Here is a 25,725-nt window from a genome sequence, read left to right on the forward strand (position 1 = left end):
CACCCTATATTCAGGCCTCTCCTCCCCTCACAACACGAAGCCCTGAACTAGGAGATAGATGGCCCGGGTTCAAGCCCTGCACTGCCTCTGACCCTGTGTTCTTAGCTCCCATATTCTGCCATTTCTCTGTAGAACTTGAAGCAATTTCAGTCCATCACACCCACATCTCAGAAGGGAAAACTGAGGCCTAAAGGCACTGGAGAGACTCACTAAGTGTACACAATGGTGAGAAAGACAGCTGTGGTTTCAGAGCAACTTCTCTGGCCCCCACAGGCTGAGGGACAGGCCTGGTCCTAGTCATAGGGATCAATGCTGCCCTAGGACCTGTGGGTTGGGGGCAACTCACGCGATAGCAGGCATGTAGTAGTCAAACTTGGCCAGGAAGTCTGGAAGGGTGAGCGGCTTGTCCATGCCAATGACGTTCAGCAGCCCCTCTGCTGTGTTAGCTGGGAGGGCGATCCCTCTCCTCCTGGAAACAAAACAGTGAGTGGTGGACCAACCCGGGGCAGGATCCAGGCAGGCCTGACAGGCCAGGATGGAGCAGACTCAGGAGCGCCAGCCTCCTTGCAGGACCACAGCAGGAGACATGGGCGTCTCTCAGTCCAGCTGCTCCCACTGGACAGATGGGGAAACTGAGAACCAGGACCGGAATTTTTCCAGCACCTTCTACCCCCAATGCACAAGTCAGCAAATCTCAAGGGGGATAAACAGGTTGAAGTGTGTGTGTGTGTGTGTGTGTATGTGTGCACACATGCACACACCCCCTCCATATCCTTGGTTGACTGATGCTTGGAGACAAGGAAAGTGCCAGGTCAAGTTCATGGCTTCCTCCTCAGCCCCAGGAGCTGGCTCAGCCAGCTGGTCCTATGCCCAGTCAGGGGTTATCAGGGGCAGTAACTGCAGCATCACAATTCCCAGGGTAGGGGCAGGCATCAGGACTTCACCCTCCATCTGGCTGGCACATCAGAGGCTTGCCCAGCCCAGCGCACTGGGAGAGGGCCGGTGGAGGCTCAGGGGAGGGGCCCAGTGGGCCGCCAGCCAGCTCAGACCTCTCTCCCCTCCCTGCCCACAGCCGCCACACCAAGCTGGACTACAGCAGCGCTCAGTAAGAGCGTGCTGGAAACAGCCCCTCTGGCTTGGAGCCTCCATTTCTCCCCAAGCATCTCGGCCTCCCCTCCCAGCCACGGGAAGCAGGGTGCGAGCTCAGGGGGGCTCCCTCTCTTCTGCACACGCTCCTGCCTCCTCATCCCATCCCGGCTCTGCTCCAGCTCACAAGGTCACCTCGAGCCTCAGTTTCCCCCCCCTTTTTTTTTTAAGATACAACAGCCAGAGAACACCAGACATTAAGAAATGCTTCTAGGCTGGGCATGGTGGCTCACGCCTGTAATCCCAGCACTTTGGCCTCCCAGGCCAAGGTGCGAGGATCATGAGGTCAGGAGATTGAGACTATCCTGGCCAACATGGTGAAACCCCGTCTCTACCAAAAATACAAAAATTAGTTGGGTGTGGTGGTGTGTGCCTGTAATCCCAGCTACTCAGGAGGCTGAGGCAGGAGAATCACTTGAACCAGGGAGTCAGAGGCTGTGGTGAGCCGAGATCATGCTACTGCACTCCAGCCTGGTGACAGAGCAAGACTCTGTATCACAAAAAAAAAAAGAAAAAAAAAAGAAATGCTTCTAACATGAGGGACAAAACAACAGAATAGACAAAAGCACTCCGAGGAAACAGCACAGAGAACAGATGAAAACCTAAGAACCAAAACAAAAAAGACATGAATATCCTCAAAGAGATGAGAAGATCCTTGAAAGGAGGGAACATTCAGAACCCAAGAACGAGCCCTCGGAAATTTACAAGAGAATGCGGCAGCAACTGTCACGATGTAAGAAAAGAACTGGAAGCTAAAAGTGAAGAAATCCTCCACAAAGTAGAACAAAAAGACAAGATGATGAAAAATAGGAGTAAACAGTTAAGGAAATTAGAAGATTAAATCAGGAGGTCCAAGCATCCAATTATCCACAAAGCAGAAGCAGAAAAATAGGAGGCCGGGTGCAGTGGCTCATACCTGTAATCACAGTACTTTGGGAAGCCAAGGCTGGCGGATCACTTAAGCCCAGGAGTTTGAAACCAGCCTGGGCAACACAGTGAAACCCCTTCAAAACAAAAATTCACCAGGCGTGGTGGCGTGCACCTGTAGTCCCAGCTACTTGGGAGGCTAAGGTGGGAGGACCACCTGAGCCTGGAAGTCAAGGCTACTGCGGGCCAAGATTGCACCACTGCACTCCAGCTTGGGTGACAGAGCAAGACCCTGTCTCAAAAAAATAAAAAAGAATAAAGGAGGAAAGTGCCAAAGAAACAGAAGTTTGACCAAATAGTGTTTTAGTGTATGTAAGTAAGTTTGTAAGTCCTTTAATAGCTTCTGTTACTAAAATATTAAAATGCTTCCCTACATAAATATGTTTCCTAAGCCCCCTGAATGTGCTCCCTTCCCCATCTGTTAGCCCAAGTCCCCATGAGTGCCCAGAGGGTACCACCAAGGGGTCATGCTGGTGCCCACCAGCCTGCTAGTCAGCCCCTAATCACTGCTCCTTACCAGCCCCTAATCCCTGTAAGAGCCTGCAGGGGAACGGTGCCCTGGTGCGGCATTGGCACCTGGAGGTCGGAGCTCAGTGCCTCAGGTACCCCTGAGACTGCTTCCCCTCCCACTGCTGGCCAGCTGCCCCAAAGTCACCCTCACAAGGCCTTGCCCAGTAACTGTGGCCGCTGAAGAGCCTGTACCAGTTGTCAAACACTGTTGGGGATATCACTCTGGGAACTGCTGGGTAGAAGGCAGGGAGATGACACTAGGGCTCTGGCTCCCATATTGCCAAACCCAGTGGCCACATTTGCCTGGGACCTGCTGCGCCAGCCATGTGCGATTCTCCTAATGGTCTCCCTCCAGCCCCCAGAACTCCACCTGCGGGGGCTCTGCCCTCTGGTCGTTCTCTCTCAGACTCTGCCTTTTACACACCTGGCCAGGCCAACTCATCTCCTTTGGTGGTTTTCAGCTCCGGATCCAGAGGTCCACAGCTTCTAATTCTCTATGCCCATACACCACCACTGAGGGCCTGTGATGTGCTGGGCACTGGGCAGATAGCAGTGACCAAGACAGACCCATGTGTCTGGCTACCTGTTGAGAGGCAGGCATCTCGCGCCACCTTTCCCCTCCCTCTAGATCACTCCCTTCCTGGGTTCCACATTTCCAAATACGGCTCCTCCATCTACCCAGCTGCCCACACCAGAGACGGGCGCCTCCCCGTGCCCAGCACCAGCCCGTCCCCTAGAACAAATTATTTTGCTTTCTATTTCTCCTCTTCGATTCTTCTTCTCCAGCCTCCCTCCTCAACAACCATCAAGAAGGAACTTCTCAACACAGAGTTTAGACAGAGCAGCCAGGGAAGGCCTCTCTGAGGAGGTGACATTTCAGCAGAAGCCTTGGGGTGGGGGCAGTTCTGGGCAGGGGAGGGGTCTGTACTAAAGCTGCAGGCAGGAAGCCGCGGGCATTGGAAGTGCAGGGTGGCTGGAGGTCAGAGAGCAGGCATTTGTGCAGATGATGCACCAGGGAGGCAGGGCCAGGCTGGGCTTAGGAAGGGACTGGGGCTTTGGCTGAAAGCACTGGGAAGGCACTGTAGGATTTCAAGCAGGGGACTAGCATGAAATAATTTACCTTTTTGAAAGCTCCTCTGGCTGCTGCGTGGGAAACAAATTGGAGGGAAGCCAGAGCTGAGGCCAGAGAGCTAATGTGGGGGCCCGACAGGAGACAAAGAGCACAGGGGACTCCCAGTGTCTCCCATGGGACACAGCTTCCCGAAGCTGCTCAGACTGAGCTGGAAAGCGCCCATCTGGAGCCCAAAGTTGAAGCAGGAAAGAGCTGTTCCTAGGGCCCTGGCACCTCTTGCTGTCCCTGGCCACCCACACAAGCGAAGGCTCCTCATAGGGCCACCCTCTGTTTTTTCTTTTGTTTTGTTTTTTTGAGACGGAGTCTTGCTCTTGTTGCCCAGGCTGGAGTGCAATGGCACGACCTCGACTCACTGCAACCTTCACCTCCCTGGTTCAAGTGATTCTCCTGCCTCAGCCTCTCAAGTAGCTGGGATTATAGATGCCCACCACCATGCCTGGCTAATTTTTTATATGTTTAGTAGACACGGGGTTTCCCCATGTTGGCCACGCTGGTCTTGAACTCCTGACCTCAGGTGATCCACCCGCCTTGGCCTCCCAAAGTGCTGGGATTACAGGCGTGAGCCACCATGCACGCTCTGTTCTTAGATGATCCCTACTCCCTGGTCAGCCACAGCTGCTGTGCTGGGGCACTGTCTGGTCCTCTTCCGGCCTTGGTGGGCAACACAGTCACAAGAAGCCCACCATCAGGAGCCCAGGGAGGGAGGGAGGATGAGCTCAGGGGTTGCAGGTCAAGTCCATCTCCCACCCCTATTTACCACATCATCCCAGGCAGGAGCGCTCCCCTCTAAGGCCCTTGGTGCCCTTGTCAGTAAAACATAATATTTTCCATGTAGGGGTGCACAGAGGAAGAAATGAAACTTTGTGTGTCATGAGAAAGAGCAGACTCTGAAGCCCAGTGGTCTGGGTTTGAATCCCAGCTCTGTGACTTAAAGGCTGTGTGACCTTGGGCAAGTAACCCAGACTCTCTGTTTCCTAGGTCTGGCATGTTTGAAAAACATCCAGTGTGGACTAAGCAAGGAGCCTTAGAGAGGTCAGAGAGGCAATGCAGGCTTTGCAGAACTTTAAGGCCCATGTGTGGACTTTGGCTTTGACTCTGAGTGAGATGGGGAAGCTGGGGAATGAGCTGGGAAGACCATGGGTTAAGGCTCTTGCTCCAACTACAGCACTGCAGGGCCCGTAGAGAGGAAGGCCAGAGTAGATGGCTGAGACCAATCAGGAGGCCACAGCACCAGGGAGGGGCAGTGGTGGCCCAGACCAGGGCAGTGATCGGAGGAAAGAGCAGCCAGTTTCAGAATCTCTGTAGAAATAGTTGACAGGGTTATAAACAAGACTGAGAAAGAGGTTGGAGAGGCCCCTGAAAAGGCCAGAATCCTGGGAACTGGAGGAAGGAGAAATGGGTGAGGACAGTTAATGAGGCAGGCCTGAGTCCCAGAGCTGGAAAAAGGGCCACTGAATTGGGCCTAGCAGGGCTCAGGCCAGGGGCTCCCCTCCTCCTTCCATTCTTAGCCCATATTTGTGTGCATTTACAGACACCCATATCTGAGTGTGACAAACTCCCCAGTCCCCTGCCTGCTGACTTCAGGCCAAGCTCCAGCTGGCACCTGCCGCACGCCATCTCCAAGGCCCAGAGGTGGTGTGAGGAATGGACGATCAGACCAGTGCCCCTCCCGGCGGCTCCTTTCCCCTTTCTCTTAGCCCCACCCGGCGCTCCCAGCCCCTGGCTGCAGCTGATGAGCCCTCCGTGACCCCTTAATGAGTGCCTGGGTTCGATCTCATCTTGGTGCCCCACTGAACGACCTCATTAGGGGCCTTGTGGCAAGTTGGCGGCTTGACATGGGCAAAGGCCAGGCAGAGATAAGCCAAGAGGTTTCACCCCACTTAGAGATATAAGCTCCAATTAATAAGAATATTATCATTAAGTGACATTTATGGAGCACATTAATGTGTGCTAGGCCCTGAACTAAGCATTTTACGGGCGTCACTTACCAAAACCTCTAACTGACAGGGGGTAATGGCCAGGGCCATGGACTCGGGGGCAGACTATCTGGGTTCAAACCTCCGCCCTGTGCTTACTGGGCACCTTACTCCACCTACCACGGCTCAGTCTCCTCATCTGTAAATGACGGCAATAGAGTTCCTATCTTACAAATTGTTGTGAGGCTTCAATAACTTAACCCGGGTAACGCACTTAAAGGAGTGTTTGGCACACAGGAGGTGCTACTGTGCTTATGCCTTGCAGTTAAATAGGAATTAAATCAATGGCAGCTTCCTGGGGCAGAAGAAGGTCCCTGGAAGTGCGAAAAGATGGAGAATAGTGGACTTACCAGAAATCTCTCAGGGAGTTGGTGGAGATGCTCCCGAGAGTTGGGGGCAACCCCCCGGGATCCCTCATTCTCTCCATGAGGGCAGGCCTCTGAATAACAGGATTCTGGCTTATGGAGCAGAAATGTTCAAATTTGGGTCCCGAGCTGAATTTCAAGACTGTGACAGAGAGGCTGAGTTCTTTCAGCTCCAAACAAAATGAGTGTTGTGCAAACATCCGAGGAACACAGGTCTGCGGGGGCAGGGCTGGGTGGACAAGGAGCCCCTAGCTCCTAGGTCATCTCTCTAGGGAGGGCCTGTTCTTAGCCTCAGTTGATAGAGACCAAGTTCGCAGACAGGAGATAATATGTCCAAATTTGAATCCAGATCCACTGGCCTTTAAAGTCCCTGCCCTTAAAAGCTGGTCCTAAGAGAGGAGCTGCTGTGAGCCCTTGAGGTCTGGGTAGGAAGGGAAGAACCTTCCTCGCTGGGGAACAGGGGGACCCTCTGGCCCCCTAGCATCTCTGAGAGCTGAGGCAGGAAGTGTGTTCTCACTTGGAAGATGCAGAGATTTAGGCCCAGAGTTGGGGAGCCACTTTTCCGTGACTCCTAGCAGGTTATGACCCTGATGATGTAGTAAAGCCTTAGGGGTCAGACAGCCTTGGGTTCAACTCTTGATCTGCTATTAATTTGTGTGACCGTGGACAACTGTCTTGGCTGAGCCCATTCCCTCCTCAGTAAAATGCAGAGAGCGTATCCTCCTCTTCCAAGCGTGGAGGAATTCAATGAGCTGATAAAGCCCAGCCCAGCTCTAGGAGATGCTCAAGAAATTGTACTGGCATCTCATGTGAGCACATCACCTGCTATATATAGGCTCTCAGTTAAGTCAAAAGACAGGAGCCAGGCACAGTGGCTCATGCCTGTAATCCCAGCACTGTGGGAGGCCAAGCTGGGTGGATCACTTGAGGTCAGGAGTTCGAGACCAGCCTGGCCAACATGTGAAACCCCATCTCCGCTAAAAATACAAAAATTAGCTGGATGTGGTGGCATGTGCTTGTAATCCCAGCTACTCAGGAGGCTGAGGCAGGAGAATCACTTGAACCCAGGAGGTGGAGGTTGCAGTGAGCCGAGATCATGCCACTGCACTCCAGCCTGGGCGACAGAGCAAGACTCTATCTCAAAAGAAAAAAAAAAAGACGGATTCAGCCCTGGGAACTACCTTCATGCACGTATGTGGGTGGGTGGGGAGAGCAGGCTCAGGCCTGGCTCACCTGACACCAGGAGGACAAGACTCAGAGGCCCAGAAAGCTCAGGAGTTGGTCTGCGGGTCTCCAGCTCAGTGCTGAGGCCTCCATGTCCTCACAGTCCCACTTCTGGCCTGGAGCTGGCTTGATTCCCACAGGGAGACAGGAAGGAACAGTGACCCTGGAATTCCCCAGGGGCCTCTGGGTGGAGCTGGGGACCCCACTCAAATCCCAGGGAGAGAGGGCTCTTCTGTATGGACTTACCTGCCATAGTATAAGATGGTTTCAGGCTTGATGGATCCGTCTAGGTGGACATGCAGTTCCACCTGCAAGGGGGCAGGGGGAAGAGAGAGAGAAAGGGAGAGAGAGAACAAATACCTATGAGTTCACGAAGGACCTTTCAGAGCTTAATGTTAACATTAATCATGATAACCATTAGCCACCATTTTACTGGCTGGCTGCTGACCCCATATACTTCGGTAAACTCTGTACTGCACTATCTCATTTAATCCGCTCCTGGGATGTGGGTTCAGCTGTTATCTCGATCTCTTTCACAATTGAGGACACTGAGGTTCGGAGGTGTTAAATATCTCATCCAAGGCCACACAGATTGCAAGTAATAGAGGCAGGAGCCCAACCCAGTATCTTTGTTCTTAATCGCAGCTGGTGAGTGGCAGAGGCGGAATTCTAACCCAAGCCCAATTCCAAAGCTTGTGCTCCAGGTCACGTAGGCAGCTCCCGCTCTCAGCCAACTAAATAAACTACTTTAACAAAAGGGATTGACCCAGATGTCCCAAACTAGGGAAGAGTCACAGCATATTTCAAAATTCAGGATCCATTTTCGTTTTCTTTTTTTTGAGACGGATGGAGTCTCGCTCTGTCTCCCAGGCTGGAGTGCAGTGACATGATCTCCTCTCACTGCAACCTCCACCTCCTGGGTTCAAGCAATTCTTGTGCCTCAGCCTCCGGAGTAGCTGGGACTATAGGCAGGTGCCACCACGCCCAGTTAATTTTTGTATTTTTAGTAGAGACAGGGTTTCACCATGTTGCTCAGGCTAGTCTCGAACTCCTGACCTCAGGTGTCCACCCACCTCAGCCTCCCAAAGTGCTGGGATTACAGGTATGTGCCACCGCAACCGACCCAGGCTCCATTTTCAAAAGCAGATGCTACTCAAGCATAGCCTATCAGGAATCAATATTAGGCAACGGAAGATCTTTCTAGTACTCTAGAGTTTAAGAGTAGGATCCTTGGAGGCAGCCCATCTGGCTTGACTCCCAGTTCTGCTGTGTGACCTCAGACAAGACACTTGACCTCTCTGAGCCTCAGTTTCCTCAACTGAAAAACAATGGAATATTATGCCCCCGTGTCCAAGAAAAATTGTAAGGATTAAAAAGGGCAGTGTAGGTGGACATGGATAGCCCAAAGGAAACAGCCCCTGCCGCTCAGTCAGGGTGTTTACCATGAGCTGTTAGGAGAAGCACAGCAGGCAGTGGGAGATGGTGGGGAAAGGGACTTTGCTGTTCCTGCTGTTCCTGTTCCAAATGATGGAAGCTTTCCCCCTAGCTAGGGGAGATCCAGAAAACTCTCAGCTGACATCTCATGCTGGGGTGGGGAGCATGGAGAGCTGGATAAGAAAGTTGGCTGCCCTGGCTCAGGGAGGAACAGCCAAGGAGCTGCTGGCCCAAGGGCGTCTAGGAGCACATACATGAGCTGCCTCCTGCAGAGGAAACCCAACCCAGGCCCAGGGGAGGCCAGCAGGGAACAGAGACACCAGAGGTCCTATCAGCAGGACCTCAGAGTCATCAGATCTCTCCTGAGGTCATCCAGCTGGCAGGGGACAGAGCGGTCTTCACACCCAGTCTCAGGGCCAACTTAGTTGTTGAATTCCCTGACAAAATGAGTTCAGTTCCCACCCAGCCAAACGTCTGTTTCTCGGGTTCTCAAAATATGCTCAGCATTGGGAATACTGAAGCTTATAGCCCAGGGAACGGCCAACCAGCTGTGTGACCTCAGGCAAGGGACCTCAACTCTCTGAGCCTCTGTTTTCTATCCTTAACCCTCACAGGGCTATGGAGAGGGCCCAGCCAGAGAGCCGGAGTCACACTGTATAGAGCATCATGCGGTTAGAGCTGGAATCTCGGCTCCTCCACTCACTCCCTGCTTGACCCTGAGAAAGTCACTTCACTTCCTGTGCCTCGGCATCCTCATCTGTTAAGTGGGGAGAATGGCAGTCCTTCCTTCTAGGCTTCATGAGGGTTAACTGCATTAGTAGGCAGGGAGTTCTTGGCACATAGCAAATGCTAAATAGTTGTCAACTAAAAGTCAATGAAGGCTGGGCATGGGGGCTCACGCCTGTAATCCAGCCACTTTGGGAGGCCGAGGTGGGTGGATCACCTGAGGCCAGGAGTTTGAGACCAGCCTGGCCAACATGGTGAAACCCCATCTCTACTAAAAATGCAAAAAATTAGCCAGGCGTGGTGGCGCACACCTGTAATCCCAGCTACTTGGGAGGCTGAGACAGGAGAATCACCTGAACCTGGGAGGCAGAGGCTGCAGTGAGCCGAGATTACGCCACTGCACTCCAGCCTGGGCGACAAGAGCGAAACTGCATCTCAAAAATAAAAAATAAGAATAAAATAAAAGTCAACGAAGGCCTGCGCTCCTGCTGGATGCTAGATTGTAGAGTTAAACAGGAGGGTCCAAGTCCTGTTCCTGGGGCTTGTACAGGCCCCAGAGTGGGAGAGGCATTAAGCAAATGTCACATGGGAAAATGTACAGTCACAAACCAAGACGACTCCTTGGGAAGTACGAACACAGTCCTATGACAGAGGGTAACAAACAAGAGAAGTGAATACATCTAGAGGGCCAACAATGAGCCTGAGCGAAAAGCTAGAGGATAGCGAGGAACCCACAACACAAGGCAGGGGTGCGGAGGGAGGCAGGAAGAAAATTCCAGGCAGAAGGAACAGCATGTGCAAGGCCCTATGGCAGGAGAAAACGGGGTATATGAAATGGATTAAATAGAGGTTCAGAGAAGGGAGGGTTCATGGTACTGGAGAGGCTGCAGGATAGGACCACCCAGGCAGGGCTGTGCGGGCCACGAGGAGTCAGGCTTTATCTGGAAAGCACACAGAGGCCATTGCAGGGTTGGCAGCTGGTTAGAGAAAGAGGATGGCTCCTCCAAGGCCAGTTAGAGGCTACTGCAGCCATTTGAAAGATGACGGTGGCTTGGACCAGGGTTGTGAGGTGCATAGAGGAAAAACAGGTGGATAGAAAGAGATGCCAAGGCTCACACTTCAGGTTAGGCCTGGGTGGGGAGCAATTCCCGCAGTTTGAGACAGAGAACTCTGGAAGAGAAGACCAAGTCCTGGAGCTCCCTCCAGGAGGGAGGATGCGGGGGAGGGAGGCATGATTGGTTTGGTTTTAGTTATGTTACACTAGAGACACCTTTTGTTTTTTGTTTTTTTAAGACGGAGTTTCACTCTGTTGCCCAGGCTGGAGTGCAGTGGCTCCAGCTCAGCTCACGGAAACCTCCACCTCCCGGGTTCAAGCGATTCTCCTGCCTCAGCCTCCCGAGTAGTTGGGACTACAGGCACCCACCACCATGCCCAGCTAATTTTTGTATTTTTAGTAGAGATGGGGTTTCACCATATTGGCCAGGCTGGTCTTGAACTCCTGACCTCAAGTGATCTGCCCACCTCGGCCTCCCAAAGTGCTGGGGTTACAGGTGTGAACCATCGTGCCCAGCCAACTGGAGATGCCTTTGAGATATCCAAAGGTAAGTGGAAGAACCCAGTGGGATACAAGAGTCTAGAGCTGGCCTGAGAAGCCCAAGCTGGGAATGTAGGTAGGAGTGTGGGTAAGCACAGAAGCTGTGGGCTTGAAGGAGCTCACCTAGGGAGAAAATATCAAGGGAGGTAAGGAAAAGGCCTAGGATGAAACTTTGACCAGCACAAGCACTTAATGGCCTTACGGAGGAGGCTGAGCCTACAGAACTGTGGCCAGAGAGGTGGGAGGGTGTGTGGTATGCAGAAGGCCAGGCCGTCAGATGTCAAGGAGAAGCGAGCAACGGTTCACAGGGTTAGCATAGTGGGCTGAATGGTGGCCCCCACAAAGCTGTCTACATGCTAATCCTAATCCCCAGAACCTGTAAATATTACCTTATATGGGTCGGGCGTGGTGGTTCATGCCTGTAATCCCAACACTTTGGGAGGCTGAGGTGGGTGGATCACTTGAGGTTAGGAGTTCAACACCAGCCTGGCCAACATGGTGAAATCCCCTCTCTATTAAAAATACAAAAATCAGCCAGGCATGGTGGCATGCACCTGTAGTCCCAGCTACTCAGGAGACTGAGGTAGGAGAATCATTTGAACCTGGGAGGCGGAGGTTGCAGTGAGCCGAGATTGAGCCACTAGCACTCCAGCCTGGGCAACAGAGCAATACTCCCTCTCAAAAAAAAAATATTAACTTATGGCGGGTGGATCACCTGAGGTCAGGAGTTCGAGACCAGCCTGGCCAACATGGTGAAACCCCATGTCTACTAAAAATACAAAAGTTAGCTGGGCATGGTGGCAGGTACCTATAATCCCAGCTACTCAGGAGGCTGAGGCAGGAGAATTGCTTGAACCTGGGGGCAGAGATTCCAGTGAGCCGAGATTAAATCACTTTACTCCAGCCTGGGTGAAAGTGCAAAACTCCACCTCAAAAAAAAAAAAAAAATTACCTTATATGGCAAAGTGTGATTATTAAATGTCTTGACAGGAAGAGTTTATCCTGGATTATCTGGTTGGGCCCTAGATGCAATCACATGTATCCTTATAAGACAGAAGCAGAGAGTTTTAAGAGAAACACACACAAGAGGAAGCAGCAACGTGACCTCAGAGGCAGAGACTGGAATGATGCAGCCACAAGCCAAGGAATGCCTAGAGCCACCAGCAACCAGAAGAGGCAAGGAATGGATTCCCCCGAGAGCCTTCAGTGGGCATGTGGCTCTGATGATATCTTGATGTTGGACTTCTGGCCCCCAGAACTGCCAGGGCACACGTTTCTGTTGGTTGAAGCCATGCAGGGTGTGGCAACTTGTCACGGCAGCCACAGAAAACTCACATGGTCAGGCCCTGCTGGAGGTCACAGGATGGAAGGGCAGAAACTTGTCCGTCGGGCTAAAAGCGCAGGCACTGGGGGCTTCAGAGGAGTAGTTCTTAACCCCGGCTGCAAGTTAGGAGCACGGGAAGTTCTGGCCAGTTCCCAAGGCCTCAACCCCATCTGAGGTCAATTAAAGAAAAATCCTTGGTGGCAGGCCCAGGTGGAGGACTTTTTTTAAAAAAACACGTAGTCAAGATTGGGAACCACTGCCGTAGAGGAACCGTTCTAGAGGCCTGAGTGAGGGTAGAATCCACATGGGAATAAGGTAAGAAAGAAGTGGAGGTAAGAAGAGGAAGAAGGTTTAGACTACTCTTTCACAATTTTGCCCCTAAAGGAACTAGCAGCCTTGGAGGGGGCAGGACGTGCATGTGGGTCAAGAGAATGGCAGGCTTTTTCAAAGGGGCATGTCTTGGGCAAGTTTAAACACCCATGGGGATGATTGAGGCTGAGTGAAAGGAGTTGCATGAGGTTACTGGGAAGGTAGGAGGAAGTCAGAAAGTCAGAAGGTCAAACCAGGCCTGGCCTTGGAGCCCCTGAGAACAGGAGGATCAGGCAGTGAATGGGGGCGGTAGTCACGTCCGCTTGTGGGTGGGACTGGTGGGGGGAGGTCTGCATGGCTACTTCTGGCTAAAGTATTTATTCATTTATTTATTTGTTGTTGTTGTTTTTTTTTTTTTGAGATGGAGTCTGGCTCTGTTGCCCAGGCTGGAGTGCAGTGGCAAGATCTCAGCTCATTGCAGCCTCTGCCTCCCAGGTTCAAGGGATTCTCGTGCCTCAGCCTCCCAAGTAGCTGGGATTACAGGCGCCCACCACCATGCCCGGCTAATTTTTGTACTTTTAGTAGAGACAGGGTTTCACCATGTTGGCCAGGCTGGTTTTGAACTCCTGACCTCAGGTGATCCACCCACCTAGGCCTCCCAAAGTGTTATGATTACAGGCGTGAGCTGCCTTACCCTGCCTGGCAAAAGTATTTAAATGCCAATTCAAGAGCCCACCTCCCAGCTCTGCTTTACTCTGGCACAACAATTGGCAATGTTCAGAGTGGAATCTTCCCATCTGCCTGGGGCCCTGAGTGATCCAAGGAGCCGAAACCTCACTGGAGGCCCTGGAGGGACAAGCAGTATGAGGTCAACCTGGGTCTCTGCAGACCCCTCAGACCTGGGGGCTGTTTGTTACCACAGCAGCACAAGGTAGCCTCTCCTGCCTCAGAATGAGCAAACACACCTTTCTGAACTCAGCCTTGCAAACTGTGATAAGAAGCAGACCAAGTGCTATGAGATAAAGAAAAATCACACTGGGGTGGGGGCAATTTAGAAAGTGTGTTGGGAAAAGATCACTTAAAGGGGGAGTTCGCCAGGGAGAAGAAAGAAGGAGAGGGAGAATGGCTCCAGGCAGGGGAGCTGCGTGTGCTTAGTGTCTGAATCAGGAAGCAGGCGGGGAGTTGGCCAGAGTGCAGAGTGAGGTTAGTGGTGAGAAATGAGGCCAGGGCAAAGTGGAGAGGGGGCAGGGAGATTGCAGAGGCCGAAGCAAAGGGTTTTCCACCCAAGTGTGTTAAATCGGAGAGTCCCCTTTAAAAAAACCTTTCCCGGCTGCTGTGTGGAGGACAGGATGGCAGGAAGCCAGAACAGAAGACCAGCTACTGCGGGAGGGAAGATCTGATTGGGATTTGAATAACATGCGGGAAGTACTCAAGGCAGCGTCAGAGACAGTGGGTGCTCAGCGGGGCAGAAGCCAGACAGTGCCGGGGTGCAGAAGCTAGGGGTTCAGGGAGCTGGGCAGGAGGCAGGAGCGCCTCTGGGAAGGGGGAAAGCAGAGCCAGCTGCCCACCATGACCAGTAGCACTCATCCCTTCTCACGGCTGCCTGAGAAGAGGCCCAGACGCGTTTCAGGTGTGGAGCAGAGGCAGGAAGCCACCTCCACAGGTGGCTCAAGCTCAGGCAGGCCTCCTACTGAATTTTCTAGAAAACTGCAACACACCATGGGAAGTCTGTCAGCCTATTCCAGATGACAATGACAATGGGGTGGCGACCCCGCTCTCCTGTCTCCTTTCAGGGAAAAGGGTCAGCAGTGGCCTCAAACTTTTGAGTATCTACTATGTGCTAGACCATCTATATGCATTATCTTATTTCATCCTTACAACCAGCAAGGTAGAGACTTCACTCCCATTTTACTGATGAAGAAACTGAGGTTCAAAGAAGTACCCCAAAACAGTCAGTGATGGAGTCAGAATTTGAACCCTAGTCTGATTCTTGAGCTCCTAACCACTCTACTGTACTGCCTCTGTGGGCCTAGCCTCAGACATCAATAATACAGAAATAATAATAATGATAAAGCAGCTACCTACTGTTTTCAGACCCTTTATCTCATTTAATCCCTAGGCAATGTACATATCGGCCCATGTTACAGATGGGGAAATGGACTTGCCAGGCTAAGCCCGGAGAAGTTCAGTGGCCTGTCCAGAGTTACACAAAATTGATGGTGGTAGAGCTAGGGTGGAACTCAAGTCCCTCTGCCTCAGCCCAAGCCCTGCCCACAGGCCACACCCCCTCCCTGGCACTCATGTCGAGACAGTGCCTGGCCTCCTGACCTCTCCAGAGGGGAATCTCACGCCCCTTCCCACTGCCTTTGCTCTCTGCAAGGCTGACTCACAGCCAGCCCAGCATTTGTCTGAACAGCAGGAAATCCTCCCAGCGCTGATGTGAACAGGAAGCATCCTCAGTTACCAACAAATATTTACTAAGCCCCACTATGTGCCAGGCACCGTGGAGGCCCTCGGGAAATGCACTAAGTCCCTGCTCTCAAGAGATGCGTGCCAGAGAGGTCCAGGGCGGTGGGTTCACTTACCCAAGGTCACTCAGTGTGTCGGTGGCAGAGCTACCATGAGGACCCAGGTCTTGGACTCCTGGGACAGATACTCCCAGATCTGACTCATGTTTCCACGTTCCCAACTGCTGGAGGGCGAGCAGGGCCGTCTACCTCCAAGGCAAACCTAGTCAGATTAGTTCTCCCTGGTGAGCCTTGGGGACAACTAATCTGACTGGGTTTACCTTGGAGGTAGACGCCCTGCTCGCCTCCGGCAGTTGGGTTTGCCTCCCAAACACATCGCTCTGTTTTGTTTTCGTCTGACTTTTTGGGTTCATGTATGTAACATGTCTGTCTCCCTCATGAGCCGTTTGCTGAGAGGGGGGACCTTGTCTGTGTCATCATGTCGTGTCCTCAGCACCTCGCACAGCACCTAGTGCTCTCTGTGTTCAATGACCACACCGTTATTTCCTCGTTTCCCTGTCCCATGTCAGCAATGCTGGGTGCTCTCCCTGCAACAAGGAAGGGGCTGACCTGCCCCCATGGGACCTGGCAGAACCCACACGGGGGCAGAGGAGCCAGGGCTGCCTGGTCAGCTCACAGAACCTGAGCACCGTGGCCAGAACCCAGATGAGCCACAGGTGCCCACTGCCAATCGAATGTCCCCTCCCTCCCTAGCCCTGCTTTTGGTGATGAGCTGGGCAGTGCCAGGGTCAGTGACTTATGCCACTATGGCCTCTCAACTGACTTTTAGTGTGAGGCCAGGAGACAGAGCAGCCCTGGGCTGAGAAACTGTTTCAGCTCCACTTCCTCCAGGAAGCCCTCTATGCTCAGCCTCATCTAGGCTCCGCCAGCTCCGAGGTACACAGTGGAAGGGACTGAGCAGTCCCCACAGTGTCTCCTGCTGACGGGGCCTGACAGCTCTGCTGCTGAGAGGTTTCACAGAAGGCAAGATGTGTCTTCCACCTGGGGAAATTCCTGTGGAGCCACAGCATAGGGACTCAGCACACTTAAACTCGTTTTAAAGGCAACAAGACTGAGGCTCAGAGAGTGGGAGGACCTTGAGTTAGAAAGTCTAATGCATACCACAGCCAGGAAGCTATTTGACTCTAAACCCGGAGGTCTAGCAGCACGCTCCCTGCATGCCACATAGCAAGGTGCTGGGTCACTGATGCTAACATCTAAACAGGGGCCAGGTGCGGTGGCTCACTCTTGAAATCCCAGCACTTTGGGAGGCTGAGGTGGGTGGATCACTTGAGGCCAGGAGTTTGAGACCTCCTCTTCACAGAGGTGGAAGGGAGGACCAGCGGGGGCAAGTGTATCCCAAGTCCCAGCTACTTGGGAGGCTGAGGCAGGAGGATCGCATGAACCCAGGAGGCAGAGGTTGCAGTGAGCCAAAATCGTGCCACTGCACTCCAGCTTGGGTGACAGAGGAAGACTCCAGCTCAAAAAAAAAAAAAAAAAAAAAGTCACTGAAGTCACCTGGTACCCAGGACTACTTCAAGGACAGCCATTGTTATGGCCAACATGGTGAAACCCTGTCTCTACTAAAAACACAAAAATTAGCCAGGCATGGTGGCGCACACCTGTAATCCCAACTACTTGGGAGACTGAGGCAGAAGAATCACTTGAACCCGGGAGGCAGAGGTTGTAGTGAGCCGAGATTGCACCACTGCACTCCAGCCTGGGCGACAGAGTGAGACTCTGTCTCAAAAGTCAAAGTAGGACCATTACCAACCATGATGATGATGCTGACCAATGGCAGCTATTGCTGCAGCACCTGCTCTGAGCCAGGCCTGCACTTGGTGTTTGAGAGGTGGGTATGGGTATAATTCTCATTTTAGAGAGGGGAAACTGAGGCACCGTGAAGTTAAATGACTCATTCAAGCTCCTCTAGCTGGAAAGTGGGAAATCAGGACTCAGACCCAGAGAGCCTGACCCCAGCTGGTGTCCAAGTTCAAATTCCTTGCTGTTCTAGCTCCCTGGTCACTAGGAGTGCAGAGGTTATCCCCCACAACTGCTCAGGGGCCTGAGAACATTAAGGGCTGAGGGCAAGCCTACCCCCAACACCTTGGGTAAATACAGATTCCAACCTCACTCTGCGCCCACAGCCTGCTCCTCTCCACCTCCCCAGCCAGACCATGGTCCTACTACCTTGCCCCGCCCCAGGGGGTACCACAGGGACCCCTTCAAGACACCTGAGCAGGTGGACAAGTCTCTCCTGGATCACAGGGCCCCCAGCCACCCAGGTCAAGCCCACCCTGAGGTTGAATGCAGGATTGGGAAGCTGCCTGGCCTCCCCTGCCTCCCTGTGTGAACACAGACCACTTCCTCTCTCTGATCCTCCCTTCCTCCTCCGAAGCAAAAGGCTTCGATGAAACTCAGTCTCCTTTGTTCCCCTCCACCACCAACTGCCATGTGAGTCAAAATGGGTAAGGCAGGCTCTTCCTAGGCACATTTTTGTTTTAACAGGTGGCTCTGGTAACTGAAAGCCACTGCAAGCCCAAAGAAGTGCAGCTGGTGGGTTTTGTGTCAGGAAGACAAAAAGGAGGAGGGAGGAGGGAGATTCTGCAGCTGGAGAGGCCTCCCAGAGTCTACTGCAACCCCCACTCCAGTCCCCAGGAAGGAAACGCACCCCTGAGGGCCTGCTGTTACCAGCCAGGCACTGTACAAAAACCAATCAGCATGTCAGTTTCCCCAAGAACCCCAAGATCTTGGTTTTGTCACCCCATTTTACAGAGGGGGAAGCTGAGTTTCAGGAGTTGTCTACCTGAGGTACCCTAGCTGCTAAGCGGCAGGCAGGAATTCAACCCCAGTACATCTGAAGCCCAGGGCTAATGCACTGGCCCACCCTGCCACCCTGATTCTAACTCTTCCCCCCACACTGCCCCCTCTTTTTTGCATAAAGTGGAATTGGCAAATGAGCAAAGCAATGAACAGCTTCTACTTGAGTGCAGGCAGATCTGGGTTCAAGTCTAGCTCTGCTGCTTGCCAGCTGTGTGACTTTGGCAAGTTCCCTCCCCTCTCTGAGTCTCAGTTTCCTCATAATAAGTGAAGTTAATAATAGGACAGGACCTTCCTCAGAGGGCTGACATAAACATTAAATGAGTCACTGTATGCAAAGCAGGACAGCGCCTCGTGCAGAGTAGACATTCAAATATGAGACAGAAAAGGCACATTGCTGATTTAGCCCCAATTCCCCTCTGCATCAGAGAGGGACAGTTTAGAAACTGCTGTCCCTTGGCCGGGTGCGGTGGCTCATGCCTGTAATCCCGGCACTTTGGGAGGCTGAGGTGGGCGGATCACCTGAAGTCGGGAGTTCGAGACCAGCCTGGCCAACAAGGAGAAACCCCGTCTCTACTAAAAATACAAAAAATTAGCCGGGCATGGTGGTGCATGCCTGTAATTCCAGCTACTTGGGAGGCTGAGGCAGAAGAATCACTTGAACCTGGGAGGCGAAGGTTGCAGTGAGCCGAGGTCGTGCCATTGCACTCCAGCCTGGGCAACAAGAGCGAAACTCTGTCTAAAAAAAGAAAAAAAGAAAGAAACTGCTGTCCCAGCCTGTACCTGTTCACTTGCCAGTCTACAGCTTCAAGGCTCTCAGATTTTGTGTAGCCCTGGCAAGTCCCTCCACTCCCTAAGCTTCAGTTTCTTCATCTGTAAATGGGGATGAAGACCCATGCCTTGTCAAGTCGTCCAGAGGATTCCGTGAGATAAAAGTTACTAGCCGGGCACAGTGGCTCACACCTGTAATCCCAGCGCTTTGGGAAGCCAAGGTGGGAGGATCACCTGAGATCAGGAGTTCGAGACCAGCTGGCTAACGTGGTGAAACCCTGTCTCTACTAAAAATACAAAAATTAGCCGGGCGTGGTGGTGGACGCCTGTAATCCCAGCTACTCCGGAGGCTGAGGCAGAAGAATGGCTTGAACTCGGGAGGTGGAGGTTGTAGTGAGCCAGGATCACACCACTGCACTCCAGCCTGGGCAACAGAGTGAGACTGCGGCACACGCCTGTAGTCCCAGCTACTTGGGAGGCTGAGGCAGGAGGATCGCATGAACCCAGGAGGCAGAGGTTGCAGGGACCCAAAATCTTGCCACTGCACTCCAGCTTGGGCGACAGAGTGAGATTCTGGCAAAAAAGAAAAAGTCACTGAAGGCACCTGGTACCCAGGACTACTTCAAGGACAGCTATTGTTATGATTATTGTAACAGGCATGTGATCAGCACTGGCCTCCAGGATGCAGAATGCCTGAGTGCCTGGTGCCACCTGTGAACATAGGCTGATAAGGGCCACCCCTGCAACCCCCCTTTCCACTTCTTCCAGTGCCCAGCAGGTGCTAAGTCAAACCAGGTGGGGGTATGGGAGGCACACCCGACAGGGCAAACTTGACTTGGGCATCCCCTGACGATGACCCTGCATGGCAGGCACACTTGAATGGGTGTTCAGAGTTCTGAGCGAAGGAATCCAAGAGTGGCCAACCTGGAGATCCAGTCGTTATCTATGAGGAACATCTGAGCCCCACCCCATTCCCACGGGACACTGACCATACAGGGGTATAGGGACCGAGGCCCTTTGTTTTGGGTTAAATGAAGGTTACTAGGTGGAGATGGTTGGGAGAAGGTGTTAAATGAAAATGCTACATAAACTGCATGATTTGCAAGTGGTTGCGGTTCTTCTGCTCAGTCTGCCGCCACTGGACTCTCTTCCCTGTGTCTAAGCCCCCAGTAAAACCCCGTATCTTGTTTGCTACCTCTTCCAAAGAAGGTAGCCTCTTGAACCTGGTGCTATATCCATTGGAGTCAATAGGGGTCCCGCACAACAGAAGGCAGCTGCCTAGGGCCTTGCTAAGCAAAGTGTGTTCCTGGATCGTTGACATTAGCATTTCCTGGGAGCTGGTCAGCAGTGCAGCATCGCAGGCCCCAACCCGACCCACACAGAATCACAGTGTGAACATTAAAAGTCAGGCCACTTGAGTGCAGTTTGAAAAGCGCTGCCCTGCTCTGCTTTCTTCTAGCTGACCAGGTCCCAGGCCTCAGCTGGTGGCAGGTATGAGAAGCTGAAGGACACAGCAAAGGCTCCTGTCTCAGGAGGTTTGCACCTGGGGCACTGGCACCTCTATCCCCAAAGGCTTCTGCAGAGGTAGTTTAGGAAAGATGGTTAGAGGCATGGGATTTCGAAGCCAGCCTCCCTTGGACTCAAACCCCAGATTGGACATTTCCTAGCTGTGTGATCTTGGGCCTAGTTAACCTCTCTGTGCCTGGATTAAATAAAAAATGCAGATAATGTGTTTAGAACGGTGCCTGGCACAGAAACATCAACACTCCATTAGCTGCAGCTAGTAATGCTAATAATTATAACTGTCATCTGTCCCTCCCACAAGAGGGCAGGGAGCTGGCTCTGGTCACAGTGGCTCTGAGATTCACACTCCTTCCCACTTCTCCTGCCAGCTCACACAAGTTCCTCCTCACAATCATACAAGATTTGTCACGCCTCAAACACATGGCAGGTAACATTCTACCTTCACTCTCAAGCATCACCTTGTGGCCTTGGGACTCAGGACACGGGACACCCACATAAGCAGCTGATGTTCCATCCTCCAGGTGTGGACACTGAGGTCCCAATAGGGAAAATGATCTGCCAGCTTGAATCAGATGGGAGGACTGAGCAAGGCCAAAAAATGGGGATAATAATATGAGCCCCTCCCTTGATGGGCTGTTACAGAAGAACTGCAAGGATCCAATGGGTGTCTGCAACAAGTGCTCTAGAAGTGGGCCCTGCTGTTCTCTCCATAACTCCCAACATGTTCGCAATCAAGGAGCCTTTTTTTTTTTTTTTTTTTTTTTGAGACAGCGTCTCACTCTGTCACCCAGGCTGGAGTGCAATGGCGAGATCTCGGCTCACTGCAAGCTCCACCTCCTGGGTTTATGCCATTCTCCTGCCTCAGCCTTCTGCGTAGCTGGGACTACAGGCGCCCGCCACCATGCCCAGCTAATTTTTTATATTTTTAGTAGAAATGGGGTTTTGCCATGTTGGCCAGGCTGGTCTCGAACTCCTGGCCTCATGATCCACCCACCTTTGCCTCCCAAAGTGCTGGGATTATAGGCGTGAGCCACTGCACCCCGCCAATCAAAGAGCTTTGCTATTGCCATAGGATTCACATCAGGGTACAGTGGGTCCCCAGCCCAAGGGCAGAGGGAGCCCAGAGCATTTAATAAAAAGACTGCAAAGGGGAGGCGCCAATCATGGGCCCCAGCTCCAGTAAGACGTGAAGGAGGCAGGGGTGGGGGTAGGAGGGCTTGTACAGCACCTCAGTGCTTCCAGCTTCTGACGGGGAGTAGCTGAGCATTTTCCCTGGGCTGGGGGCATCAGTAGTGGGGGCCAGGCCTCACCCTCCTCAGAAGGTAGGTGGGCTCTCCACAGCCTGTCTCCCTCACTGACACATGCACACTCACTGGATTCTCACCGGCACTTTTGTGATAGCTGTCATCATCATTCACACCTATTTCTTTTCTTTTCTTTTTCTTCTCTTTTTTTTGAGACAGGGTCTCGCTCTGTCTCCCAGGCTGAAGTGCAGTGGCACCATCACACCTCACTGCAGCCTCAACCTCCTGGGCTCAAGCGATCCTCCCGCCTCAGCCTCCTGAGTAGCTGGGACTACGGGAGTGCACCACCACACACACTTCCCCTAACTTTTTTTATTTTTTGGAGAGACGGGGTCTAGTTTTGTTGTCCAGGCTAGTCTCAAACTCCTGGACTCAAATGATCCTCCCGCCTCAGCCTCACAAAGTGCTGGGATTACAGGCGTGAGCCAACCTCCTGGGCCACTCACACCTATTTCTTAGAAGGGTAAGTTGAGGCTGACTGCAGCTGACTCCTTCCCCAACCACTCTCACACCCTACTGGCTGACTCACCCTGCTTGGCAGACTCCTGGGCCCCTCCTCTCGGACTCTGCGACAGGCCAAGGGGGTCCAGACCCTCCCTGACCCCAACAGTCCCAAGACGCCACAGCTGGTGGGCGGAGAAACAAGGGGATTCTCCCCTGGGGCCAGTGGCCATGGCTTGGCCTCGAGTGAACCCTGCTAGGGCCCCAAACCCAGGGCCTACCTAGCTCCTGTTCTTCCCGCGCGGGGGAAGGGGGGTGCTCTGCTCCCCTCCCTCCCCTTTCTGGCAGGGCTCACGGTTCTTCCCCGGGGCGCATCCACAAACCTGAGCTCCTTGGCGCTCACCACCATAACGCTGGCGTACAAAGCTGCTTCCATTCACTGAGCACTCAGTAGGCGCCGGGCACAGCACTAGGTGCCTATCCGGCGTAGACATCGGGCCTGATCATACAGCTGAGCTTCAGAGACCTCAAGTCCCTGCCCAGGCCCACACAGCGCTCAGCGGTGCTAGGATGCCCACTTGACAGACAGCGAAACTGAGACCCAGAGGGGTCAAGTCAGGGGCAGAAGCAGACTCTGGAGGCCTCCGGGTTCTGGACCTTCTCTGCCCCATTGTCCCTGATTAGCCCGCAAGCAAGCCACGGCCTAAGCCGAAGGAAGAACTCGCCTGCAGGAGCCCCCGTTCGTTCCCAGGGTTTGGACGCCCCGGGCTGGGCCCCGCTAAGCCCCTCGGGCCGCCCAGGCGCCGGACCCCCGTCCCCGGAGCCCCCGCGCGCGCTCACTTTGGGCTTGTCGAAGGCGGGCGTCTGGGCCATGGTGCCCTCGTGCGCCCCGGCGCTGCTCCCTCCGCCGCCGCTCGGTGGGTCTCTGCCGGCTCGGTGGCCGCTCGGCTTTCCCTGGGGCCAGCGGTGGCCGCGGCCGGCCACGCTCTTCTTAACGGGCCGGGCCCCGCCTCCCGCCCCGCCCGCCGCCGTTCCCGGGGCCCGCCCTCTCGCCGGAGCCCCCGCCCCGCCCGCCGGCCTGGATCGCGCATTTCCTGGAATTCTGGACCCGGCGTCCTCGCCCGCCGACCCGAAAACTACGGCCCCGCGGCGCCCGACCGGACCCACCTGTGGGCGCGCGCTCCAGCCGCCTCGCTGGGCGCTGCCTTCCCCCCGGCTCCTCCAGCAACTTTCAAGCGTCCCCCTGCAGTCTGGGCGCTGCTGTGCGCCAGGCCCAAGCTAGAAGCGGGGACCCCGGGAGCATCGCAAGCCTCGAGCGGCGTGCCTTCCACCGGATAGACGGACGCTCGTCGCAGAAACACACACCATAATTGTATAGTTAAGGAACTTTCGAGGGGGGCCAGCCGTGGCCTGCAGAACCTGCAGGAGTTCATCAGGGGTGGGTGGGGGTGGAGAGGACATTCTACGTGAGAGACTCCAGGGAGCTGGGAGTGAAAGGAGGCGAGGAAGGCTGGAGCTCGGAGGGAGGGAGAACACAGACAGTCCCCTCCTGGGCATTCACCTTTAAGAAACCCGCCCAGGCGCAGCCAGAGACCTGTGCAGAATGTTCACACCAGCGCTATTCCGAATAACAGGAACATTGGAAACACCCTCAAATGCCCCTCCACGGGCGAGTGGGCAAATAAACCGGAATATTCACACCATGAAACGTTAGACAGCAGTGAAACGGAATGAACTTCAGCCAGACAACAACAGAAACAATGTCTCAGAAACAATGTTGAGTGAAAAAAACTAAGTTGCGGAAAACTGCATACAATGGTGCAACTTTTAGAATGTGTAAAAGCAAAACCAAAAGTATGTATGTTTAGACACATGCATCGGTGGAAAAAATGTAAAGCAAGGGAAAGATGAGCATAGATACGAGAAGAGTGGTTATCTCAGGTGAAAGGGAAGGAGCCGGGAGGAGGTAAGGACGGAGGGAAATAACACGCGGGTACAGGTTATTTATTTATTTATTTATTTATTTATTTATTTATTTATTTATTTACTGAGACGGAGTTTCGCTCTTTCGCGGAGGCTGCAGTGAAGTGGCGCGATCTGGGCTCACTGCAACCTCTGCCCCTCTGGCCCGCCTCCTCCCCACCGCTCCCCCGCACCCCCAGCGTTTCAAGCGATTTTCCTGTCTCAGCCTCCCGAGTAGCTGGGATTATAGGCGCCCACAACCACGCCTGGCTAATTTTTGTTTTTTGTTTTTTTGTTTTTGTTTTTGTTTTTTTGAGATGGACTCTTGCTCTGTCGCCCAGGCTGGAGTGCAGTGGCGAAATCTCGGCTCACTGCAACCTCCACCTCCTGGATTTTAAGCAGTTCTCGGCCTCAGCGTCCCGAGTAGCTGGGATTACAGGCGCGTGGCACCGTGCCCTGCTAAGTTTTGGATTTGTAGTAGAGACGGGGTTTCACCATGTTGGCCAGGCTGGTCTCGAACACCTGACCTCACATGATCCACCCACCTCGGCTTCCCAAGGCGTGATTACAGGCATGAGCCACCACGCCTGGCCACACACAGGTTATTGATAATGTTCCAGTACTGGGGTGGATGGTAGCTTCATTTCATTTCATCATAAATAAATTAACAAACCCATAAACAAGGGGGAAAGAGAGAGTGGGAGAGTGGAGAGCAAGGGGCTAGAAGGTCTGATGGGAGCTGAATCCTGCCAGGGATGTGGGACCCAGCGATGGTGTGGGATTCCTAGGAAGTCAGTGGAGTGTTTTAAGTGGAGGCGAGACAAAATCACCCTTTTATTTGGAAAAAATATTCTCCAGCTACTGAAAGTGTGATCCAGGGATCATCAGCACCCACATCACCTGGGAGCTGACTACAAATGCAGACTTTCAGACCCCATCCCAGACCTACTGAAGTAGAATCTGTATTTTATACAAACAGGACCCCCAGGTGGTTCGCACCCACAGGGCACTTTGAGAAGCCTGGGCTCCCTGCTGTGAGGGGAGGGCATTACAGGGGGCCAGCGGGGGTGAGGGAGGACAGGATACCAGGAAGGAGGCAACTGCCATGGTCTGGGTAGGGCATAGTGATGTCAGTGGGGGAAGTGGAGAAACTCATATTCAAGCTGCATTTAGGGTGTAAAATCAGCTGGATTTGGGGTTTGGTTGTATGTGGGAGTGAGGGAGAGGGTGGCTGTATTAGTCCATTATTTTCATGCTACTGATGAAGACATACCCGAGCCTGGGCGCAGTGGTTCATGCCTGTAATCCCAGGACTTTGGGAGGCCAAGGCAGGAGGATCACCTGAGGTCGGGAGTTTGAGACCAGCCTGACCAACATGGTGAAACCCCGTCTCTACTAAAAAAAAAAAAAAAAATACAAAATTAGCCAGGCGTGGTGGTGTATGACTGTAATCCCAGCTACTCGGGAGGCTGAGGCAGGAGAATCGCTTGAACCTGGGAGGTGGAGGTTGTGGTGAGCCAAGATTACACCATTGCATTCCAGCCTGGGCAACAAGAGCGAAACTCCATCTCATGAAAAAAAAAAAAAAGACATACCTGAGACTGGGTAATTTACAAAAGAAAGAGGCTTTAATAGACTTACAGTTCCACAATGGTGGGGAGGCCTTGCAATCATGGCAGAAGGCAAAGGAGGAGCAAGTCACGTCTTACATGGATGGCAGTAGACAAAG

At 53.2% G+C, this 25,725-nt stretch overlaps 1 protein-coding gene across 4 annotated transcripts in view, besides 62 other annotated features; it reads right to left on the bottom strand.

The window, feature by feature from the left end:
- The window catches only part of ADA (adenosine deaminase), a 32,178-nt gene extending 9,179 nt beyond the window's left edge, over window positions 1–22,999 (bottom strand). For all 4 annotated transcript variants that reach the window (NR_136160.2, NM_001322050.2, NM_001322051.2 and 1 more), the window contains exons 1-3: window positions 22,875–22,999; window positions 7,527–7,588; window positions 347–469 (exon numbers count right to left, since the gene is read on the bottom strand). Coding sequence is in view for 2 of the 4 variants with exons in the window: in NM_001322051.2 (NP_001308980.1) it covers window positions 347–469; window positions 7,527–7,588; window positions 22,875–22,907 (218 nt within the window). In the remaining 2 variants the exon portion in view is untranslated. The remainder of the gene's footprint in view (window positions 1–346; window positions 470–7,526; window positions 7,589–22,874) is intronic.
- Window positions 304–13,301: an enhancer, noted in NCBI's record as "fragment c". NCBI's record gives its function as "enhancer of ADA expression in duodenum" and the evidence as "EXISTENCE:transgenic organism evidence [ECO:0001131][PMID:9334245, PMID:11053006]".
- Window positions 304–13,301: a DNaseI hypersensitive site, noted in NCBI's record as "duodenal hypersensitive region containing HS-A, HS-B, HS-C, HS-D, HS-E, HS-F and HS-G; the nucleotide coordinates are approximate for this feature". NCBI's record gives the evidence for it as "EXISTENCE:in vivo cleavage assay evidence [ECO:0001075][PMID:9334245]".
- Window positions 304–23,771: a biological region, named in NCBI's record as "adenosine deaminase intronic regulatory elements". NCBI's record gives its function as "regulatory_interactions: ADA".
- Window positions 541–1,291: an enhancer, noted in NCBI's record as "H3K4me1 hESC enhancer chr20:43257882-43258632 (GRCh37/hg19 assembly coordinates)". NCBI's record gives its function as "activates a minimal SCP1, AML or CMV promoter by ChIP-STARR-seq in naive H9 embryonic stem cells {active_cell/tissue: H9 hESC(naive)}" and the evidence as "EXISTENCE:reporter gene assay evidence [ECO:0000049][PMID:30033119]".
- Window positions 1,292–2,041: an enhancer, noted in NCBI's record as "NANOG-H3K4me1 hESC enhancer chr20:43258633-43259382 (GRCh37/hg19 assembly coordinates)". NCBI's record gives its function as "activates a minimal SCP1, AML or CMV promoter by ChIP-STARR-seq in naive H9 embryonic stem cells {active_cell/tissue: H9 hESC(naive)}" and the evidence as "EXISTENCE:reporter gene assay evidence [ECO:0000049][PMID:30033119]".
- Window positions 4,558–7,974: an enhancer, noted in NCBI's record as "fragment g". NCBI's record gives its function as "enhancer of ADA expression in duodenum" and the evidence as "EXISTENCE:transgenic organism evidence [ECO:0001131][PMID:9334245, PMID:11053006]".
- Window positions 5,439–5,744: a DNaseI hypersensitive site, noted in NCBI's record as "HS-D; the nucleotide coordinates are approximate for this feature". NCBI's record gives the evidence for it as "COORDINATES:manual assertion [ECO:0000218][PMID:11053006]" and "EXISTENCE:in vivo cleavage assay evidence [ECO:0001075][PMID:9334245]".
- Window positions 5,449–5,478: a protein binding site, noted in NCBI's record as "FP 5 PDX-1-binding site". NCBI's record gives its function as "required for duodenal enhancer activity" and the evidence as "EXISTENCE:protein binding evidence [ECO:0000024][PMID:11278481]".
- Window positions 5,449–5,778: an enhancer, noted in NCBI's record as "0.3 kb core duodenal enhancer region". NCBI's record gives its function as "enhancer of ADA expression in duodenum" and the evidence as "EXISTENCE:transgenic organism evidence [ECO:0001131][PMID:11278481]".
- Window positions 5,503–5,528: a protein binding site, noted in NCBI's record as "FP 4 PDX-1-binding site". NCBI's record gives its function as "required for duodenal enhancer activity" and the evidence as "EXISTENCE:protein binding evidence [ECO:0000024][PMID:11278481]".
- Window positions 5,527–5,565: a protein binding site, noted in NCBI's record as "Y2/NFI YY1-binding site". NCBI's record gives its function as "developmental timing of duodenal enhancer activation" and the evidence as "EXISTENCE:protein binding evidence [ECO:0000024][PMID:15677472]".
- Window positions 5,527–5,565: a protein binding site, noted in NCBI's record as "Y2/NFI NFI-binding site". NCBI's record gives the evidence for it as "EXISTENCE:protein binding evidence [ECO:0000024][PMID:15677472]".
- Window positions 5,555–5,593: a protein binding site, noted in NCBI's record as "G3 GATA-4-binding site". NCBI's record gives its function as "required for high-level duodenal enhancer activation" and the evidence as "EXISTENCE:protein binding evidence [ECO:0000024][PMID:12571085]".
- Window positions 5,604–5,625: a protein binding site, noted in NCBI's record as "FP 2d PDX-1-binding site". NCBI's record gives its function as "required for duodenal enhancer activity" and the evidence as "EXISTENCE:protein binding evidence [ECO:0000024][PMID:11278481]".
- Window positions 5,620–5,639: a protein binding site, noted in NCBI's record as "G2 GATA-4-binding site". NCBI's record gives its function as "required for high-level duodenal enhancer activation" and the evidence as "EXISTENCE:protein binding evidence [ECO:0000024][PMID:12571085]".
- Window positions 5,620–5,639: a protein binding site, noted in NCBI's record as "FP 2c PDX-1-binding site". NCBI's record gives its function as "required for duodenal enhancer activity" and the evidence as "EXISTENCE:protein binding evidence [ECO:0000024][PMID:11278481]".
- Window positions 5,634–5,657: a protein binding site, noted in NCBI's record as "C2/Y1 Cdx-binding site". NCBI's record gives its function as "developmental timing of duodenal enhancer activation" and the evidence as "EXISTENCE:protein binding evidence [ECO:0000024][PMID:15677472]".
- Window positions 5,634–5,657: a protein binding site, noted in NCBI's record as "C2/Y1 YY1-binding site". NCBI's record gives its function as "developmental timing of duodenal enhancer activation" and the evidence as "EXISTENCE:protein binding evidence [ECO:0000024][PMID:15677472]".
- Window positions 5,650–5,670: a protein binding site, noted in NCBI's record as "FP 2a PDX-1-binding site". NCBI's record gives its function as "required for duodenal enhancer activity" and the evidence as "EXISTENCE:protein binding evidence [ECO:0000024][PMID:11278481]".
- Window positions 5,680–5,704: a protein binding site, noted in NCBI's record as "C1 Cdx-binding site". NCBI's record gives its function as "developmental timing of duodenal enhancer activation" and the evidence as "EXISTENCE:protein binding evidence [ECO:0000024][PMID:15677472]".
- Window positions 5,751–5,772: a protein binding site, noted in NCBI's record as "G1 GATA-4-binding site". NCBI's record gives its function as "required for high-level duodenal enhancer activation" and the evidence as "EXISTENCE:protein binding evidence [ECO:0000024][PMID:12571085]".
- Window positions 5,896–6,045: a DNaseI hypersensitive site, noted in NCBI's record as "HS-C; the nucleotide coordinates are approximate for this feature". NCBI's record gives the evidence for it as "COORDINATES:manual assertion [ECO:0000218][PMID:16950765]" and "EXISTENCE:in vivo cleavage assay evidence [ECO:0001075][PMID:9334245]".
- Window positions 5,896–6,045: a transcriptional cis regulatory region, noted in NCBI's record as "HS-C temporal element". NCBI's record gives its function as "controls duodenal enhancer activation timing" and the evidence as "EXISTENCE:transgenic organism evidence [ECO:0001131][PMID:16950765]".
- Window positions 5,915–5,934: a protein binding site, noted in NCBI's record as "NFI site 3". NCBI's record gives the evidence for it as "EXISTENCE:protein binding evidence [ECO:0000024][PMID:16950765]".
- Window positions 5,965–5,985: a protein binding site, noted in NCBI's record as "OC site 2; binds OC-1/HNF-6 or OC-2, but not OC-3". NCBI's record gives its function as "enhancer activation timing in developing postnatal intestine" and the evidence as "EXISTENCE:protein binding evidence [ECO:0000024][PMID:16950765]".
- Window positions 5,965–5,985: a protein binding site, noted in NCBI's record as "YY1 site 2". NCBI's record gives the evidence for it as "EXISTENCE:protein binding evidence [ECO:0000024][PMID:16950765]".
- Window positions 6,014–6,034: a protein binding site, noted in NCBI's record as "YY1 site 1". NCBI's record gives the evidence for it as "EXISTENCE:protein binding evidence [ECO:0000024][PMID:16950765]".
- Window positions 9,925–22,867: a locus control region, noted in NCBI's record as "12.8 kb BssHII intron 1 fragment". NCBI's record gives its function as "high-level expression of ADA in thymus" and the evidence as "EXISTENCE:transgenic organism evidence [ECO:0001131][PMID:2606352]".
- Window positions 13,001–13,600: a DNaseI hypersensitive site, noted in NCBI's record as "HS VI; the nucleotide coordinates are approximate for this feature". NCBI's record gives the evidence for it as "EXISTENCE:in vivo cleavage assay evidence [ECO:0001075][PMID:2606352]".
- Window positions 13,677–14,266: an enhancer, noted in NCBI's record as "H3K27ac-H3K4me1 hESC enhancer chr20:43271018-43271607 (GRCh37/hg19 assembly coordinates)". NCBI's record gives its function as "activates a minimal SCP1, AML or CMV promoter by ChIP-STARR-seq in primed H9 embryonic stem cells {active_cell/tissue: H9 hESC(primed)}" and the evidence as "EXISTENCE:reporter gene assay evidence [ECO:0000049][PMID:30033119]".
- Window positions 14,193–14,792: a DNaseI hypersensitive site, noted in NCBI's record as "HS V; the nucleotide coordinates are approximate for this feature". NCBI's record gives the evidence for it as "EXISTENCE:in vivo cleavage assay evidence [ECO:0001075][PMID:2606352]".
- Window positions 14,258–14,377: an enhancer, noted in NCBI's record as "active region_17934". NCBI's record gives its function as "activates an Ori minimal core promoter by ATAC-STARR-seq in GM12878 lymphoblastoid cells {active_cell/tissue: GM12878}" and the evidence as "EXISTENCE:reporter gene assay evidence [ECO:0000049][PMID:35858748]".
- Window positions 14,267–14,857: an enhancer, noted in NCBI's record as "H3K27ac-H3K4me1 hESC enhancer chr20:43271608-43272198 (GRCh37/hg19 assembly coordinates)". NCBI's record gives its function as "activates a minimal SCP1, AML or CMV promoter by ChIP-STARR-seq in primed H9 embryonic stem cells {active_cell/tissue: H9 hESC(primed)}" and the evidence as "EXISTENCE:reporter gene assay evidence [ECO:0000049][PMID:30033119]".
- Window positions 14,388–14,567: an enhancer, noted in NCBI's record as "active region_17935". NCBI's record gives its function as "activates an Ori minimal core promoter by ATAC-STARR-seq in GM12878 lymphoblastoid cells {active_cell/tissue: GM12878}" and the evidence as "EXISTENCE:reporter gene assay evidence [ECO:0000049][PMID:35858748]".
- Window positions 14,858–15,447: an enhancer, noted in NCBI's record as "H3K27ac-H3K4me1 hESC enhancer chr20:43272199-43272788 (GRCh37/hg19 assembly coordinates)". NCBI's record gives its function as "activates a minimal SCP1, AML or CMV promoter by ChIP-STARR-seq in primed H9 embryonic stem cells {active_cell/tissue: H9 hESC(primed)}" and the evidence as "EXISTENCE:reporter gene assay evidence [ECO:0000049][PMID:30033119]".
- Window positions 15,817–16,416: a DNaseI hypersensitive site, noted in NCBI's record as "HS IV; the nucleotide coordinates are approximate for this feature". NCBI's record gives the evidence for it as "EXISTENCE:in vivo cleavage assay evidence [ECO:0001075][PMID:2606352]".
- Window positions 16,121–16,200: an enhancer, noted in NCBI's record as "active region_17936". NCBI's record gives its function as "activates an Ori minimal core promoter by ATAC-STARR-seq in GM12878 lymphoblastoid cells {active_cell/tissue: GM12878}" and the evidence as "EXISTENCE:reporter gene assay evidence [ECO:0000049][PMID:35858748]".
- Window positions 16,356–16,914: a transcriptional cis regulatory region, noted in NCBI's record as "559 bp SphI-TthIII 3' facilitator fragment". NCBI's record gives its function as "facilitation of T cell-specific enhancer activity" and the evidence as "EXISTENCE:transgenic organism evidence [ECO:0001131][PMID:7823928]".
- Window positions 16,356–18,609: a locus control region, noted in NCBI's record as "2.3 kb SphI LCR fragment". NCBI's record gives its function as "high-level expression of ADA in thymus" and the evidence as "EXISTENCE:transgenic organism evidence [ECO:0001131][PMID:7565722, PMID:9016677, PMID:7823928]".
- Window positions 17,211–17,290: a silencer, noted in NCBI's record as "silent region_12943". NCBI's record gives its function as "represses an Ori minimal core promoter by ATAC-STARR-seq in GM12878 lymphoblastoid cells {active_cell/tissue: GM12878}" and the evidence as "EXISTENCE:reporter gene assay evidence [ECO:0000049][PMID:35858748]".
- Window positions 17,352–18,605: an enhancer, noted in NCBI's record as "1.3 kb thymic enhancer fragment; includes HS II and HS III". NCBI's record gives its function as "enhancer of ADA expression in thymus" and the evidence as "EXISTENCE:reporter gene assay evidence [ECO:0000049][PMID:1508212, PMID:2606352, PMID:1781406]".
- Window positions 17,390–17,989: a DNaseI hypersensitive site, noted in NCBI's record as "HS III; the nucleotide coordinates are approximate for this feature". NCBI's record gives the evidence for it as "EXISTENCE:in vivo cleavage assay evidence [ECO:0001075][PMID:2606352]".
- Window positions 17,421–17,520: an enhancer, noted in NCBI's record as "active region_17937". NCBI's record gives its function as "activates an Ori minimal core promoter by ATAC-STARR-seq in GM12878 lymphoblastoid cells {active_cell/tissue: GM12878}" and the evidence as "EXISTENCE:reporter gene assay evidence [ECO:0000049][PMID:35858748]".
- Window positions 17,454–17,969: an enhancer, noted in NCBI's record as "H3K27ac-H3K4me1 hESC enhancer chr20:43274795-43275310 (GRCh37/hg19 assembly coordinates)". NCBI's record gives its function as "activates a minimal SCP1, AML or CMV promoter by ChIP-STARR-seq in primed H9 embryonic stem cells {active_cell/tissue: H9 hESC(primed)}" and the evidence as "EXISTENCE:reporter gene assay evidence [ECO:0000049][PMID:30033119]".
- Window positions 17,537–17,563: a protein binding site, noted in NCBI's record as "PU-binding site". NCBI's record gives the evidence for it as "EXISTENCE:protein binding evidence [ECO:0000024][PMID:1508212]".
- Window positions 17,596–17,608: a protein binding site, noted in NCBI's record as "TCF-1alpha- or LEF-1/TCF-1-binding site". NCBI's record gives its function as "necessary for position-independent transgene expression in thymus" and the evidence as "EXISTENCE:protein binding evidence [ECO:0000024][PMID:1508212, PMID:9016677]".
- Window positions 17,603–17,630: a transcriptional cis regulatory region, noted in NCBI's record as "28 bp critical core". NCBI's record gives its function as "necessary for ADA thymic enhancer activity" and the evidence as "EXISTENCE:reporter gene assay evidence [ECO:0000049][PMID:1508212]".
- Window positions 17,607–17,619: a protein binding site, noted in NCBI's record as "ADA-NF2-binding site". NCBI's record gives the evidence for it as "EXISTENCE:protein binding evidence [ECO:0000024][PMID:1508212]".
- Window positions 17,614–17,632: a protein binding site, noted in NCBI's record as "ADA-NF1-binding site". NCBI's record gives the evidence for it as "EXISTENCE:protein binding evidence [ECO:0000024][PMID:1508212]".
- Window positions 17,619–17,627: a protein binding site, noted in NCBI's record as "c-Myb-binding site". NCBI's record gives its function as "necessary for LCR and enhancer activity" and the evidence as "EXISTENCE:protein binding evidence [ECO:0000024][PMID:7565722]".
- Window positions 18,014–18,609: a transcriptional cis regulatory region, noted in NCBI's record as "591 bp EcoRI-SphI 5' facilitator fragment". NCBI's record gives its function as "facilitation of T cell-specific enhancer activity" and the evidence as "EXISTENCE:transgenic organism evidence [ECO:0001131][PMID:7823928]".
- Window positions 18,191–18,590: a DNaseI hypersensitive site, noted in NCBI's record as "HS II; the nucleotide coordinates are approximate for this feature". NCBI's record gives the evidence for it as "EXISTENCE:in vivo cleavage assay evidence [ECO:0001075][PMID:2606352]".
- Window positions 18,591–18,990: a DNaseI hypersensitive site, noted in NCBI's record as "HS I; the nucleotide coordinates are approximate for this feature". NCBI's record gives the evidence for it as "EXISTENCE:in vivo cleavage assay evidence [ECO:0001075][PMID:2606352]".
- Window positions 19,167–19,335: a silencer, noted in NCBI's record as "fragment chr20:43276508-43276676 (GRCh37/hg19 assembly coordinates)". NCBI's record gives its function as "represses an EF-1alpha promoter that drives an FKBP-Casp9 reporter gene in an ReSE screen in phorbol 12-myristate 13-acetate-treated (for megakaryocytic differentiation) K562 erythroleukemia cells {active_cell/tissue: K562(+PMA)}" and the evidence as "EXISTENCE:reporter gene assay evidence [ECO:0000049][PMID:32094911]".
- Window positions 19,358–19,858: an enhancer, noted in NCBI's record as "H3K4me1 hESC enhancer chr20:43276699-43277199 (GRCh37/hg19 assembly coordinates)". NCBI's record gives its function as "activates a minimal SCP1, AML or CMV promoter by ChIP-STARR-seq in naive H9 embryonic stem cells {active_cell/tissue: H9 hESC(naive)}" and the evidence as "EXISTENCE:reporter gene assay evidence [ECO:0000049][PMID:30033119]".
- Window positions 21,031–21,334: a mobile genetic element, noted in NCBI's record as "direction; reverse".
- Window positions 21,239–21,260: a non allelic homologous recombination region, noted in NCBI's record as "proximal ADA NAHR recombination breakpoint sub-region, recombines with the distal ADA NAHR recombination breakpoint sub-region within the distal ADA Alu-mediated recombination region, resulting in a deletion". NCBI's record gives the evidence for it as "EXISTENCE:nucleotide sequencing assay evidence [ECO:0000219][PMID:3366897, PMID:1696926]".
- Window positions 22,448–22,557: an enhancer, noted in NCBI's record as "active region_17938". NCBI's record gives its function as "activates an Ori minimal core promoter by ATAC-STARR-seq in GM12878 lymphoblastoid cells {active_cell/tissue: GM12878}" and the evidence as "EXISTENCE:reporter gene assay evidence [ECO:0000049][PMID:35858748]".
- Window positions 22,788–23,771: an enhancer, noted in NCBI's record as "H3K27ac-H3K4me1 hESC enhancer chr20:43280129-43281112 (GRCh37/hg19 assembly coordinates)". NCBI's record gives its function as "activates a minimal SCP1, AML or CMV promoter by ChIP-STARR-seq in naive H9 embryonic stem cells {active_cell/tissue: H9 hESC(naive)}" and the evidence as "EXISTENCE:reporter gene assay evidence [ECO:0000049][PMID:30033119]".
- Window positions 22,808–23,197: a silencer, noted in NCBI's record as "silent region_12944". NCBI's record gives its function as "represses an Ori minimal core promoter by ATAC-STARR-seq in GM12878 lymphoblastoid cells {active_cell/tissue: GM12878}" and the evidence as "EXISTENCE:reporter gene assay evidence [ECO:0000049][PMID:35858748]".
- Window positions 24,281–24,589: a mobile genetic element, noted in NCBI's record as "direction; reverse".
- Window positions 24,495–24,516: a non allelic homologous recombination region, noted in NCBI's record as "proximal ADA NAHR recombination breakpoint sub-region, recombines with the distal ADA NAHR recombination breakpoint sub-region within the distal ADA Alu-mediated recombination region, resulting in a deletion". NCBI's record gives the evidence for it as "EXISTENCE:nucleotide sequencing assay evidence [ECO:0000219][PMID:3366897, PMID:1696926]".

This window comes from Homo sapiens, chromosome 20, assembly GCF_000001405.40.
Source record: "Homo sapiens chromosome 20, GRCh38.p14 Primary Assembly".
NCBI lineage: Eukaryota > Metazoa > Chordata > Mammalia > Primates > Hominidae > Homo > Homo sapiens.